We start from the raw sequence: 16,805 nt of genomic DNA, 5'->3' as shown, positions 1-16,805 counted from the left end.
AGTAAAATTAAGTGAAAAAAGGTTAAAATCATATATACATCACAATCCCACTTTTATAAAATGTGATATATTTGACTAGATGTATTATAGCAAAATATAGTGGTCTTTAGTACTTGGAGTACCCTTTCTGGACTAGGAGATGAATGGAGCAGGTGAAAGTAGGACAGGTTTCCTGTCTCCCTCCCTGGCTGCTGCAGTCCACTGTTGGCTTCTCTAACTCCCGTAATGTTTGCCATTTATAAAACACAGTATCACATTTAATTATATTTTGTGTTGTATTGTTCTTGAAAGTGTCTGGAAGACTTCAAGAAGAATTTTATGTCTGCTAGATTTTCAGCACCTTGTGGCAGAAACCATGTTGTGTCATTTAAAGAAAAAATATGCTTCATGGTTTCTTGCAGAGTTCTGGACACATAGCTAGTCTTCAATTAAATAGGAGATTAGGATAATTCAGTTCTGTATCAACAGGTTAAAGCAGTTATTAAGCAGCATGAAATACAGGTAAAAACAACTCTTTCAACCTTTTGAAAACTTTAATGTCTATCACTTTGTATGCAAAAAACAATTTTTTTTTTCATAACTTAGATAACCCAAGACAACCTGGCCTTTTGCTATGCAGGCCTATGTCATCTAGTGAAGAGTTGAGTCCACCAGCAGTTCTTCATTGAGGCAAAAGAAGAAAACAAACAAAAACAACAACAAATAAATCCGACTTTTAGCAAACCATCTCAAAATATTGCAACATACAAGAACATCAAAGAAACAAACAAAAATAATAATAATAATAATGCTTCCTTGGCTGACATGGAAATGTTTACTAGTCACTAGCATGATAGACCGTGCATGACCCAGGTCTTCGATTTGATTGTCAGTGGTAGATAATTAGCTTAGAATTCCCAGCAAAGGCAGGGTGCAGTGGGTTACTCCTGTAACCCACACTGGCTTTGCCTCCCTCTTTAATGAACCCTCAACTGATTCCTCAAGCCCACAATATTCCCTCCCAGCTGATTCCTTCAGCAGATGAGTTCTGATTCAAAGATGGTTTTGTTGCAAATCAGCTAGTTTAAGTAAAAGAGGTTTATCATAAGGACAGATAAGAAGCAGGACATATTTTTGGATCTCATCAACGGAGTCCTTGCATTTTATTTATTATTCTTATGGTAGCCTGACTCAGCATCCAACTTCCTTAATGCCTGTGTTACTAGTTTAAGTTCTTGAAAAAGTCACTGTGATTGGCCATGCAATGGATTGGCTGCACCTGTGTTGGTAACGAACCTCGCCCATCAGCTGTGGCTGGCTGTCTAGCTGGGATTAAAGAAACTGTTGTTTTGGAGTCTGGAAAATTAGGAAAATCTACTCTCTTCGGGCTAGACTGTATTAATATTTCTTTACTTTCAACAAGATGGAAATTTCAGTAGAGCAAGAAACAAGTCAAGCAATCACATACCCCTATGTTCCCTATCAATTGCAGCATCCTGGAGGCAAATCCAGGACAAGGCGGGCAAATCAGTTGATGCCAGGAGTTCTAGACCAGCCTGGCCAACATGATGAAACCCTGTCTCTACTAAAAATACAAAATAAAAATTAGCCAGATGTGGCCGGGCACGGTGGCTCACACCTGTAATCCCACCAGCACTTTAGGAGGCCGAGGTGGGTGGATTACGAGGTCAGGAGATCGAGACCATCCTGGCTAACACGGTGAAACCCCGTCTCTATTAAAAATACAAAAAAATTAGCTGGGCGTGGTGGCGGGTGCCTGTAGTCCCAGCTGCTCAGGAGGCTGAGGCAGGAGAATGGCATGAACCCGGGAGGCGGAGCTTGCAGTGAGCCGAGATTGCGCCACTGCACTCCAGCCTGGGCAACAGAGCGAGACTCTGTCTCAAAAAACAAACAAACAAACAAAAAATTAGCCAGACATGGTGATGTGTGTCTGTAGTCCCATCTCCTCAAGAGGCTGAGGTAGGAGAATTGCTTGAACCCAGGAGGTGGAGGTTGCAGTGAGCCAAGGTCCCACCACTGCACCCCAGCTTGTGCAACAAAGTGAGACTCCATCTCAAAATAATAGTCATAATAAATAAAGAATAAAAATAAAAAATAGAATTCACAGCAAATACTTTTATTTTGTCCACCTGCTGTAACTGAAATGGCAAAGGACTTCCTAAGGCAGGGCTGTTCTCAAATCCATAGTCTAGTTGTACAGACAATATCTGAACTTGAATAAGTCCCTTACAATGTTTGGACTTTACCTCTCAATACATAAATAGAGGTAGTAATATGTCATCTGGACAATACAGGCAATAATAGCCATCCAAAGATTAATAACAGGATTATTGCAAGGATTAAATAATGTGATGTGAATACATCCATAAACTGTGAAATGTGATATATTGTTGACGACATTAGTAACATACCTTTTTGTTCATCATTTTCTCATAGGGCAGAAATGGATACAGCATCTAAAACTCTCTTGATCATAAGGAATAATAGTCATTCGGCAATTTCCATAAGAAGAAAAATTCATGACATAGACTATTAGTGAAATGAGGTACCAGTATATAAACTTTTCTTCTCAAAACAACCGTCTTAGGTACATACAGTAGTTCCCCTTTTTCTGCAGTTTCACTTTCCATGGTTTCAGTTACCTAACGTCAACCATGGTCTGAAAATATTACAGTATTTAGAGAGAGACAGAGACCACATTCATGTAACTTTTATTACAGTATATTGTTATAATTGTTCTACTTTATTATTAGTGAGTGTTGTCAACCTTTTACTTTGCCTAATTTATAAATTAAACTTTATCTTAGGTATGTATGCATAGTATAGGGCTTGGTACTATCTGTGGTTTCAGGTATCCACTGGGGATCTTGGGACATATACCCTACTGATAAGGGGGACTACTGTATCACTGTTTATCACCATTTTACAGATCAGGAAACTGAGGTCACACAGCTGGCAAGTGGTAGAGTTGAGACTCAAGCCTTTTCTGGTGCCAAAGCTCCAATCTGTGCTCTTAAGCACAAATGAGCCTGATGACAAATTCTCAGACTGTGACTGAATGAGTGAGAGATGCCAGTTCTTAAACAAACACTGGGGAAAAGTTACCAGTGCAAATGGGGATTAGAAAGGAATCGTTCTTTTCCCTCCTGGATGTTTACACGGGTGGTTCACCCCATTCATGGGCAGGAAAACACAGGAAATCTGGGCTGTGAGTTGTTGGGATCTAAGGGAGCCCATGATTGACTCATGTGTTGTTTCTATACTATGCTTGCCAATTATATTTTTAAACAGCAGCTACTGTTATATACTTCTTTTTCCCTCTCAGGAGTTCACAAACAAGTTTTTAATTTTAAGGTCAAATTGGAGGTCACTCTCAAGGTATGGGAAATTCCATTCCCATGGCTGCGTCTGGACACAATTTCTTTCTCCCGCAGGGCATTGTGGAATGTAGTATCACAGACTGACAGGCAACGTGAGACACAGAACAAGGCTGCAGAAATGCACTTGGTGGGGAACATTTTTCTTCTATTTCAATATTAAAATGGGAAAGTAGAAAATCTGGAAAATAAAAAGTGCTGTCTCTACAAACGTTTGGGGTAGAAAGAAGCATCTCACTTTCACTTACAAAATTAGCTCTTTACTTTCTCAGACGTTATTAAATCTATTATAACCTTTCATCAGCAAATAGTCATGGGAGACTCTGAGTAACACTTGTCCTAGAAAAAGGCATGAAGACACCTGGCTTCTCCAGCTTTATTAGCTCAGCTAGTATTGATGATGATGAAATTAATTCAGATTATTGATATCTTGGCAACAGGAATGTCACCTGAGTATTTTATAAAAAGATGTAGAGGTATACAAATTCTTTCTAACTTCCTGGGAAAAGCAGGGACTAATCAATGCCACCCGATGTTCATCATAACTCTTATAAAGTAACACTCCTGACTTCTGCATAAAGAATTGTCCATTAGCTCAGCGGCCAGGTATCTAGGCAGGGCCAGTGCTCTAATCAGCAGCTTGTACTCTAATTATGGGCTTCTTTGAATACCCGTGATACCTTGTTTAAACTGCTGTCCCCTCTTCGCTTCCATACTGAACGAAAGTTAACGATATAAGCATGCTTGTTGTTGGTTGAGGCATTCAGCCCTGGTAAATAACTCTCTTGATTTTTGCTTTGGGTTCACAGATCTGTGGTGTCATGCCTCGTATAGACATGACTAAGTGACTTTAAAAACCATGGTTGTTGAAATCTGACCCAGGCTAAAAAAAAAATACTTACCAAAAAAAAAAAAATAGCTCAGTGTTCTCTTTGTGAAATGCCAGCTCCAATCTGCATGGAGCCCATGGTAAATTACCCACCTGTTTTCACTTACACAACATTAAAAAACACTTATACATCATTACATTCTTATATCATATTACTGAAAATGAATGCTAACACGATATGAGATAAACAGTGCTAATGAGGTAGAAGGTGGCTCCTATGCTCTCCTGATAGGATGACTATGGCCCTGATCAACTTTTGGTCATTGTATGAGACTCTTTGAATCTTGTTATCTTGACAAAGGGTAGAAAGAGGCTTTTGTTTCCAGCACCTGCTGTTTCTCCACATACTTGGACTACTTCTCAACAAAGTTAAGCTGAATCACTGCAAGACACTGAAACTTTATTAACTCATTGGAAATCAGGTTGATATTTTTTTGTGGACAATGTAGAAATACAGTTACTATGAACACACGAATGCCTTTTTTTTTTAATTTTAAAAGTGTAATTAGGATGTGGCCAGAATATTTATTTCTAATGGGAATAGCTTCTGTTTAGGCTAATAGAATATTCTCAAAACATTCTTGGATTGGGACCATCTTCAGAAAACTAATAGCAGGCCACACTGTACTTTCAACAGTAATTGTCAGCTGCACAAACAAAATCCATACTTTCCTTAAGAGAAAATTATACAATTACCATGGGAACAAAAGCCTCATTTTGTTTAATTTGCTTCATGTTTACCAAAACGTATTGGTTATACCACCAGCTCCACCATCCCCCAACCAAACCCCATGAAAAAATATATTAGAGGACCATCAGAGTTCTGTTTCAGTAAGCTTTGTTTAAACAAGTGCTTTGGTGTGTTTTTTCACTGTCGGAGTAGGTTGCAGGAAGCATGGGTGACTGACCACGAAACATCGTGCCTTGTCTTAGGACTAAGATTCCACCAGATGGCTGGGAAGATGGTCTGCAGGTCCACAGGCTGTAGAAAGAGCAGGATGGCCCTGGCAGATAGGTAGGTTCTGCCTCCTTGAGATATGTATATATATGTATACGTATGTGTGTATGTGTGTGTATATATATGTGTGTGTGTATATATATATGTGTGTGTGTATATATATGTGTGTGTGTGTATATATATATGTTTGTGTGTGCATGTGTGTCTGCGTGTGTGTGAGTGTGCTTGAATCCTATTTTCTTCTTTGAGGGAGCCCCCAAAAATTCATCACCACAGTATCAAGGATTAGAGCAACTGATGAAATTTTGGACTTATTTCATGTTGTTTCTAATTAAAGTGGCCATAGGAATCTCCAGAAGTTATCTGAGAATTAAAAGAAAGTCACTACAAGGTGTAAGCCTCCAGAAGGTTGCAAGTTAGCCTTTACAACACCCTAAATTCCATGATCACTTCCTCTAAAAAGTGCTAGCAGATCCTTTGGTGAGTTCCATCAGGATGGGCTGTTCACGCATTTATGAAAGCATTTACTTGATTCTGCCTAAAATTATGGATTTTTATGTATCCTTCTTACCCACTAGACTATTTATTATGTGCCTACAAAATGTAGGTCAGTGCTAGGTACCCATTAAATATTGGTGGCTGTTGACTGGTGATTCCCTGAAAAAATACCAAAATAACCCATGATCAAGCAAAGCTGAGTCTTAGTAGCATCTCTGAGCAGGAAGGACAAAAGTGAGAAGCATATGAGGTTTTGGGGGTCAGGGGAGTTATGTGGGTGTATTGACATGGAGGGGATTGGCTGGGGAGGGTGATCTAATTGCAGTTGGGCAGGCTTGGGGATGTAATCATTTAGGATTACATAGACGGTAAGAATTTCTAGGACAATATTGAGTAAATATTTGTTTGATGAACCCTGAGAATGAGGTACTTACTCTAATAAGGGCTAATTGAGGAGGCTAGTAGTCTATCATCTGGGGGAAAAAAAGGATTTTGGAGAAATACTTGAAAGAAACAGTAAAATTACTGACAACTTTGTCTTCCTAGGCAAGAATTTCCAGGAATAGTAAAGTCAGGTTAATTTAGACAGTGAGCTTGTGATATCAGATGGTTTAAGCTCTCTCTATATATTTGGAAGATTGCACTTAGAGTTGATTTTTCTTCTTTTTTTTCTAACTTTAAAATTTTGGTTTCACCAAACTATAGAGGCTTAGCTCCTTAAAAGAAAAAAAAAAAAAGCAAACATCATAATGATAGTCAAAAGAAGATACTTTCTTTCTCTAAACTTAGATTTTCTAGAAGAAAACAAGATGACAGAATATAAATGTGAGATAGAAAATAGGAACAATGAGGAGAAAAGAACAATAAAATGGGCCACGTTTGGGGTCATTGTCCTAAAAATGTCCTTGATTATGTCAATTTAAATAATATTATGACTTTTTCCACAAGGAAGTAGTACTAATTGAACCACCAACTTAAAAATGAATAGCAGAGAACATTAAAAGGTCTACATAAAGTATCATAAAGAAATTCAGGGAGTGGCAAAGCAAACAAACAACTAAACAACCCAACTCTACATATGTACCACTTTGGGAGTCTTCTTGTTTGGAAGTGACTAAGGGCTGGCTTATAGTAAGGACTGAGTTAATGATTAATAAATAATTGGTTTTTGAAGCATGGACTTCATGTCAATACATGAAGCATGACTTAAGTCAATACAAATCACATTTGATGCTTAGAAATGCCACGTAATGCTTCTGAAAGGATTTGTTGCAAGTCTATAGGGAGTACATGCAATTATGTGAGGTGTTGCATGGAGAAGAAAGGCAAAGACATTGTTCCTTTTCTTCTCCGGGTCTGGCAGTCAGTGTAAAAATTAGAATTTCCAATGTTATAGGATCAGTTAGGCCAGGAAAGGCCTGACTAGGAGTTTGGTTAAAATTGATTTCAGTGTGATCCCAGCACTTTGGGAGGCCAAAGTGGGTGAATCACCTGAGATCAGGAGTTCGAGACCAGCCTGACCAACATGGTGATACCCCGACTCCACTAAAATTACAAAAATTAGCTGGGCGTAGTGGTGGGCACCTGTAATCCCAGCTACTTAGGAGGCTGAGGCAGGAGAATTGCTTGAACCTGGGAGGTGGAGGTTGCAGTGAGCTGATATCCTGCCTTTACACTCCAGCCTGGGCAACAGAGCGAGACTCTGTCTCAAAAACAAAAAACAAAAAACTGATTTCAGAAAGGCTCACAGGGACTGAACAGCAAGGGGTCATAGGTAGAAGTAGGAACCGGGCACTTCATTCTAAAGAGTAAGACTGGAAGGATCTTGGAGGTAGTTCAGGCAGGGGAAACCAGTAGTAGTGAGATTGGACCAGGCAAATAGACCAGCCCTGAGATGTGGGGAAGAAGCACACAGAGAAGGTCATTGGACAATGGAGATCATGATCCCAAAGCCAAGGGTTTTAGGAACCAGGAAATCAGGAATAGAAGAAAGAGGGATAAATAAAAGCTTAGAAATATAGGTAAGCAGAGACTAGAAAATGAGGTTTGGAGCTTAGGCAGCATCTGTTCAGAAGCCTTGGGGTCCCATCATCAGAGTTGTCTGAATCTGCAACTTCAGGGAGAAGTTGGAGCTCCTTGCATGTTTCTTTCTGTGGGGCAGGAGCTGGAGACAAAGGTTCTCAGGAAAGTTTTGTATCAGACAAATCCTCCAGGAGAACAGCTCCCTGGTTCCCATTGGATTTGTTTGGCCCTGCCCCTCCATATCATAGTTTGGATTCTCCAAGAAGCAGGTGCTGGGATAGAGTTAGAAGTGTGAATGGTTTATTGTGGAATAATACCCAAGAAAGGCAAAGGGGAGGGAGCAGGATTGGGCAGGAGGACCCATTGGTTCGTGGACAACAATTCTCTGCCAACCCACAGGGGAGCTCCAGAGCAAAAAGATTGACCATTAGAAGAGTTCCACATTGGGCTGAAGTGACCAGGCCCTTGCAGTGAGGCTTCACTCAGTCATTAGCTGGAGGCCTCTTCAAAAGCTGAGGTAGATCCTCAAGGTGCTACCATTTTGAAGCTGTCAGCTAACCACACTCATTAATAATGCAAGTCTTTCTAGAAGGTGCATCTGAGTAGCATGTCTGCCACAGTCCTCTCCTTGCACCACATGGATACTCTTTCAAGGAGTAGAACCTCCAGGGTTCTGGTGGGCCCCTATTCCTAATGGGAAACTTAAGGGAGGGAGGTTTATGGGATGCACCCACTGCTGCAGTCTGCCTCAAGGCCATGACTATACTCATGGCATCCCTCACTTGCAGATAAGTCCTCTCTCCCTTATAAAATTCCCTTCACCTTCAGCTACTATCCCTGCTGATTCCATGTGGCTTACATGGTGGTTTGACCAAACCCTCATACCTAAGTGGTCTGAGCCTCCTGTAATCATGCCATCTTCAGGCCAAGGTAACTGCACTTATTCAGTTATAGTTGCAATTGAACAAGGAAGTACCAAGAAGCACCCAGGCGGGCCACCTGAGTTTCACACACACATCCATCCAATCCCATTGTGTAACACTAGTCCCACTTTTCCTACTGATTGGAGTCAGTTATCCCTCACAGAATGGTGACTCCTCTTCTTGCCTACTGACCCCTGGACACAAGGAAGCCAAAGTGCCCAGGCAACAATCATGGACTTTTGTTTTGTTCCCTGGTAAGAGCAGACTTCTTTGGAAATAAGAGTCTCCAACTCAACAGAGCCTCTGGTTGCAGGGCAGAAAGGACAAGTTCATCCCATGGGTCATTGGAATTGATGCTAGGTGGGGCCACTCCTGCTTTAATTCCTGGATTTCAGACCCGTGTATTCTTCCAGGCCCTCGTATTCTTCCTAGTGGGGAGACTGGGCCATTTAAAGTTTCTCATTTAGTTCATATACCATGCTCTGGAGGATGGGGCCTCATTCTCACGAGTTATTACCACCATGATGGCATTTCACTTGCACCTTCGGCCCACCATGACAACAGCTATCTGGCCAGTAGCTTCTGAGTAGCACAGTGATGGCACCACTTGTGGCTCCCATTGTTATGGGCCCACTCCTGTAACTCTATTGGTGTAATGGGTTGAGGGCTGAGAAGGGACTAGCACGGAGGTGGGTAAGCTGTCTGCTCATTTCTGAAGTTTGCCACCTGGAGAATATTGTGACGCACTCCAAACCTCAAACAGTCTACAGCCGGAGACTGTCTGCCCATCATGCTTCTTGAAACTGGGTAGCGAGTCCTGCCTTGAAGGGTTGTCTGAGCAGCTCTGTCAGCCACACCAGGGATGGCCTGGCTGTATCATACACGCACAGAATGATAGGAAAAATTGGAACACCCATCAAGATAGAAGAAATTTGTTTGCTTTTGCATAAACTTAATAAAGAAAGAAATGGAGAAAAATTTTTAGATGTAGTTTTTAAATGAATAAACAAGAGTTTTGCTTTTTCTCTGTGTTGTAAATTAATTTGTCATAATAAATAGAAGTCAGAAATCCTTACTTCAATCCACAATGCTCTCTCCTCCCTAACTTTCTATGTGGGATAGGTACTTACAATTTTATACCCTTGACAAAAGATTGTTTATATTCATTCATCTAATTTGAGGAATAGGAGAAGGAGACAGGGTCATCAGGACAGGAACTAATATTTCTTACTAGGGACTTCACATCATACTTTTGTTTATTTCTCATATCAATACTGTAGATGTATTAATACATGCTATACATGTACATTCTGTAGATGGAGAAAATAAGGCCAAGGAACATGAAGTTACTACCTCGTCCTATAAAATTTAGTTTAGTTTTCTTCTTCAATAGGTTAAATCTGAATCCTCTATCTCTCTATGATCACATAACACCCTACTTATTTCTAGTTTAGCTTTTGGCATGTTATATTAAAGTTATTTGTGTGCTTTTCCATCCCACTAGTTAGGGAGCTCCTTGTGGTAGCAACTGTCTCCCCAATGCCTAATATGTCTGGCACATGGTAAAAAAGTGACTATGCTAAGATTTGGACCCAGAATTTTATGCTACAAAGCCGCTGCTTCTCTCTCTGCTCTGGTATTTTCTTTTAGGGGTATATGTATGAATATGTATGCATGTATATGCACTTATGAGTACACATGAATAATGGTGTCTGGATGTCTATAGACAGATAAAATTGTGTATGTATGTCTATAGATACAGATATATAGAAGAAGAACAGAAAATGACAGGCTCCAGACAGGTGACAGAAAAGGGGGCAGGTGTCTTTAGCATTTGTTGAGGTGGGCTTGTTACTTTCACCTTCCCAAACATGGGCTTTGCCAGTCAATGTCATTGACATTTGGCTTTGCCTGTGGATAGCAGCAGCTATCCCTGGCTCATCTCTTGGTGTAATGTGCTGAGGGCTGAGAAGGGACTAGCACGTGGGTGGGCATGCTGTCTGCTCATTTCTGAAGTTTGCCTCCTGGTTGTCACTCTTACATCTTTGAGCTGCCCGTAAGCTCCCAGGGAGGCTAAGCAATGGTAGCTTAATTACAGAGGCTGTTATTTACTAGGGCCTCAGCTGAATCCATCAAACTAACTTCACTTTAACCTGAGCCAGATTTGATTATAAAGCCTATTTATCGAGTGTTTCCCCCTTTGGCTGTGTGTGTTTTGATTTAGGTACACAGACTTACCTATTTGAAAAGTAGCTCTGTTCTGACACATTTTATATTTTTAAAGTAATATTGCATGTAACATAATTTTTGGGGAAAATACACTTTCAACACAAACAAACAAACAATAAGAAAAAGGCCTTTGAATTTAGAATAATGGATACCTGCAAGGCAGCAACTTGCTTGAGAGATTTTGCTCAAGTAACTTATAACTATCAGTAGAAACCCCCAGGGATTTACGGCTGTTTTTGCAGAAGCTGTTTGCAGTGGAATAAACAGACAAGTGCTCTATATATCATTTTAAGTAAGACAAATAAAGCTCTGTTTCCACCTTACAACGATGTCATTGTCAGTTATATAAAAATAATTCTGTGTGACTTTTTATGAATTCTTCCCCTGTGCAGAAACACAATGGCCTAATTTTCCACTCCCTGTATTATAAATAAATGGCCTTCTTCAGCAATCTCAGGTCCATCCAAACTATCTCATCCTGAGCAAAGGGCATCTTTCCTACCACTAAGTGCTCACCTGTGGAAAGTGGGAGTCATTGTCCACCTTTGGACATTTGGGGTACTCCAATTTTCTTACCTGCTACCTTCCCACGGCAGCCAATGGCAGATCTGTAAAACAAGCTCTAAGGCCATGACAGGTGCAGAGAGAAACTGAGCCATCCATGGACTTGCCCCTTGTTTAAAATACAAGAGAAATAGAATCACCAATTAATCAGCGTAGATAACTTAAATATAAAAAATGTGTTTTGTTTGTTCAAGTTTTTATCTGGGATTGGTTTACATGGAGAGAAGCAAGAACTGGCACAACAACTTCAAGTTATTTTGAAAAATAGAGGAAAAGCATTGATTCACAATTTGAATTTTTTAAAAGAAAGAAGCAATATGCCTATTCATCGCTTTCATTCTCTTTTAAAAACCACTTTAGTAGCTTTGTTGAGGTATAGTTGACATGTAAAAAACTGCACATATTTAAAGTATACAATTTCATAAGTTTTGACATATGCAAATAACTGTGAACCCATCACTGTAGTCAAGATGAGGGACATATCCATCGCCCCTAAAAGTTCTTCGTGTCCCTTTGTAATCTCTTCTTTCCACTCATTCTTGACTACAACACCCGTCCGCCCCAGTCCCCAGACAACTCATCAATTGGCCTTCTGTCACTATCAATTTGTTTGCATTTTCTAGAATTTTACATAATTGGAATCATATAGTAGGTTGAGATTAACATATCGATCAACTTGGGGTAAAGTGACATCTTAAAATATTGTGCTTTCTGATGCAGAACAAAATAGATCTCTCCATTGAGTTAGATCTTCTTTACATTTTTTTCTGCATTCTTCTGTATGGGTGTACAGGTCTTTACATCTTTTGTCAGACCAGTCCTTTAATTATAAATTTAAACATCAGACCTGTAATTATAAATTGTAAGAACGTAATAATTCTTGATGTTGTTGTAAGTTGTAATTTTAAAGCTTCAGTTTCCAATAGGTTCTTTCTAGTATATAGAAACGCAATTTATTTTTGTATATTCATGTTTAATCCTTTAACCTTGCTAAGCTTACTTATTAGATCTAGTAGCTTTATTGCACATCCTATTAGATTTCCTGCAGAGCCCATCACGTCCTCTAAGAAGAAAGACAGTTTGATTTTTCCTTTCTAATCTGGATGCCTTTTATTCCTTTCTATTGCTTGCTTTGAACTATCTAGAACCTCCAGAATGTTAAATAGACTGGGTTGGAGAAGACATTATGAACTTTGTGAGTTTAGGGGGAGACATTCAGTCTTTCCCTATTAAGCATGAGATAAATATCCTTAATCAGGTTGAGAAATTCACTTTTATTCTTGTTTTGCTGAGTATTGTTTATCAGGGATGAATAATCCTGGATGTTCTTTTTCTTTTTTACTTTGTTAATAGAGTGACTTAGATAGAGTGATTTTCAAATGTTAAACCCATCCTTCATTCCTTAGATAAGCCTGTTTGGTCATATGTACTGTCTTTTTTACATATTGTTTGATTAAATTGGCTAAAATTTTGTTTAGAATTTTTGCATGTATATTCATGAAGTATATCAGTGTACAGTTTCTTTTCTTATGATATCTTTGGTTTTGTTATCAGAATAAAGTCAGTCTCATTAAATGAAATGGGCAATATTCTCTGCTTTTTAATATTCTGGAAGAAAAAATAATATTATTTCTGTTTTGAATGTTTGGTAGAAGTCAGTAGTGAAGTCACCTGGATCTGAAGTTTTCTTTGTGGATGTTTTTAAAAATACAAATACAATTTTGTTAGTGTATAGACAGATTTTTAAGTTACCTATTTCTTCTTGAATGATGTTTGGTATTTTGTGTCTTTCAAGTAAATGTGGCTATTTTCTTTAAAGTTATCAAATTTATTGGCATAAACTTATATATAATGTTTCCTTCATATTTGTAGACTGTCTAGTAGTGCCACCTCTTTCAATCTTTATATTGATAATTTGTGTGTTCTCTCTATTTTGAAAATCAATCTAGCTGGAGGGTTATCAATTTTATTGATCTTAAAGACAAACTTTTGGCTTCATATTTTCTCTATTGATTTTCTATTTCCTTATGCACTGCTGTCCACAGTGAGCTTTATGATTTTCTTTCTTCTACTTACTTTGAGTATAATTTAGTCACATTTTTCTATTTCTTAAGGTAAAAACGGTGGTCAAATATTTTTGTACCCCCCTGTCTTCAAAAACTTTAATTATACATATATTAGGCTGCCAGTAGTTCTTGAACAAATCATTGGTACTCTGTTCATTTTTTGAAATTATCTTTTCTTTTTTTGATTTTTTAAATGTTTCTCAGATTCACTAATCTTTTCTTCTTCACTGTCTAATCTGAAGTTAATCTCATTTGATGTATTTTTATTCCCACATATTGTACTTTTCATCTCTAATAGGTTGATTTGGTTATTATTTTATCTCTCCATTGTCTCTCCTTAACCTTTTAAATATATGGAATACGGTCTTTAAAACTGCTTTAATTGTCGTCATCTGCAAATTCCAACATTTCTGTCAGTTCAGAGTCTCTCTCAATTGATTAATCTAGCCCTTAATAATGATTCATATTTTCCTGCATCTCTGCATGACTGGTAATTTTCTATTGGATGCCAGATATTGTGAATTTTATCTCTTTGAATAAGAGATTATTTAAATTCCTAAAAATATTATTGATATTTGTTCTAGGATGTGGTTAAGTTGCTTAGAAAAAGTTAATCCTCTCAGATCTTGATTTTCAGATTTGTTAGCTAAGGAGAGAGTTGTACTCAATCTAGGACTAACCAGTCCTCACCACCCAGGCAAGACTTTTCTGAGTACTCTACCCATTGTCTTGTGAATCTGGAGGTTTTCCAGCCTGGCTGCAGGATCCGGGGCACTACTTCCAGCCCTTGTGAGCTCTGGGCACTGTTACCTCTAATCCTTTCAAGTTCATTTCCCCAGCTACCAGCAGACTCCTTATGTGTTTGTAATGATCGGTACTCAGCTGGATACTCAAGGCGGACCCTCTACAGATCTCCAGGCCTCTCTCTGCTCAGCTTTCTCCTGTTTGTTACTCTATCCTGGGAACTTAGATTTATTGGTCTTCCTGGTCTCTCAGCTGCCTCTTTTCAATTTAGGGAATCTGCAGAACTCTACCACAATTCTTCCCTCTGCTGTGGCCCTGAAACTCTCTCAAGACAATAAGCTGAGGCTATCTCAGGGCTCATTGTTTGCCATCTCTCAAAGATACTGTCTTTTTTGACTGATGTAAAGTGTTTTACAAACTAACATTTAGTGTATTTTGTCTCTGTTTGGGTTGTTTCAGGGTAGAATAAATCTTGGTTACTCATCTTGTTCAGAAATGTAAATCCAATGTGTTTTTTTTCCTTTTGCTATTTTTTTTTCTGCCTATGTGTGCTGTGTGAATACAAAAACTTTAGCACTGTTGCAGTCCCATGGTCATGCCCAATATCCTGCCTATGGGAAGGGGAGGAAGCTGAGAGGTTAATTAGAAGGAAGATTTGCTTCAAGTGGTGCCATTGCAGCATCCTGGAGGGTCACATAGGCTTTCTCCTCAGTAATCACCCATCATTCACCTGTTTAGTAGTTCTTCCAAGATGTGAAATGTCAATCTGCCATCTAAGTGACTCCTGCAAAACAAGTGACCCTGCATGAAGCGGTGATCATGAAAACCAATCACAGCAAATGGCCCATCTACACAGACCTGGAATAACAGACTTACAGAGCTCATGTGTGGACTGGAGTTGATGTTTGAAATAGTTTCTAACCAATCTTGCATAAATCTCATTCCTGCTACTTTTCTCCTTGTCAACTTTGTATGAAAGAATGAAGGAAGGAAGCAGAGAAGAAATACAGGAAGAAAGGAAAGAAGATAAGGAAGGAAAGAGGGGAAGGAGGGAGAATGAAGCTGCTGTTATATCCAGAGAGGTAAAGAGGAATGAGAGAGCATTAAACAAATTCGTGGAGAACCTTACCTGGGTCCGATGGCCACCAAGTGGATTAGGAATTATTTTTACCTATATTTGCCTCTTTGCTTACATATAAATAGCAGACCATATATGACTATAGTATACGATGTATAAAACTATTACTGAGATCAACTTGTTATGGTACTTAAAATACCTTATGGATGTAAAAACTCTGAACTTTGAATTCATTGACTCAATATTGCCTACTTGCCCTGTCCATTCTGAAAATTCTAGAATTTAAAATCAGGGCTGGGGGGAAGGTAAAAGTTAAAGAGGCTCTAAAAAATAATTACTTCTTACCACAAGTAGATTGATCACTTGACAAACAATCCCAGGGTAAGAAATGAAAAAACAAAACTTCATACCAAAGTGATTTGTTTCTATCATCCAACATACTTCTCAGCCACTGCCTTTCACAACTGATTGTGATCCTGAATTACAATCAATAAATCCATGTGGTAATTTTGTCTCAAGTAATCACAAAATGTAAACCCATCTGTGCACTCATGTCTGGTATGACGTTTTATTACGGTTTATCAACATCTTCATCTGTGAGTGGTGTGATGCAGGGGTTCTCAACTGAACACTTTTGGTGTGTTGGACAAGATAATCCTGTGTGTGGCAGGGTGATCACATTGTTGGATAATTAGAGATATCCTGGCCTCCACTTTCTTGATGCCAGTGGCACTCCAGCAGTGGGGATTATAAAAAATATCTCCAGTTATTGACCAATGTCTCCTTGGGAGGGGGGAGCAAAACTGCCACAGCTGAGAACCACTGATGTAATGGAACAAACAGGCCTGTGATACCAGAGTATGAGTAAGAATTCTCTCACATGCTTGTTGCAGAAACTTGAGTAGATTACTGATCCTCTTTAACCATTAGTTTCTGTGAAAATTAAATGAGATCAGGTATAAAAAGTGAATAGCAAACTCTGTGTGTGGCTCATCATAGAAACTCAACAATTTGAATTTCCCTTCCCCCATTCTGTATGCATTCATCTAAGACAGTAATGGTAGATTTAGATTATAAACTTGTGGAAGACAGAAAGCATCTAGCATGGTGCCTAAGTGCTTAACAAATACTTTTAGTGATGATATGTACATTTGCTAAAGATAATTCTAATGCCTTCTTGATTCTCAATACTGTATGGAGACATGCCTATTTTCTTATCAATTTAAAGAAGGTTTTCATACAACTCTTTCACTTTCTCTTGCAAAGTTGAAAGGAAGAATTGATATTCAGAGTTCACAAAAATATAGTGTAGCTGTTTGATAACAGTGCTCTGTAAGAAACAGAAAACCAAAAGAAAATTATATAACAAGAGAATGTGCATGGCATGGTTTTAAACATTAACTCCTTCTTTTGAAAGTGTAGTAAGAACGTGTAATTGATATTGTATCCAGCCTGTT

The 16,805-nt window shown here is 38.8% G+C and overlaps 1 annotated feature.

Annotated features, from left to right (window-relative positions):
* Window positions 2,534-2,703: an enhancer, noted in NCBI's record as "active region_13174". NCBI's record gives its function as "activates an Ori minimal core promoter by ATAC-STARR-seq in GM12878 lymphoblastoid cells {active_cell/tissue: GM12878}" and the evidence as "EXISTENCE:reporter gene assay evidence [ECO:0000049][PMID:35858748]".

Source organism: Homo sapiens, chromosome 18, assembly GCF_000001405.40.
Source record: "Homo sapiens chromosome 18, GRCh38.p14 Primary Assembly".
Lineage (NCBI taxonomy): Eukaryota > Metazoa > Chordata > Mammalia > Primates > Hominidae > Homo > Homo sapiens.
Note: the sequence above shows the minus strand (reverse complement) of the source record. Positions and strands in the feature narration are given on the sequence as shown.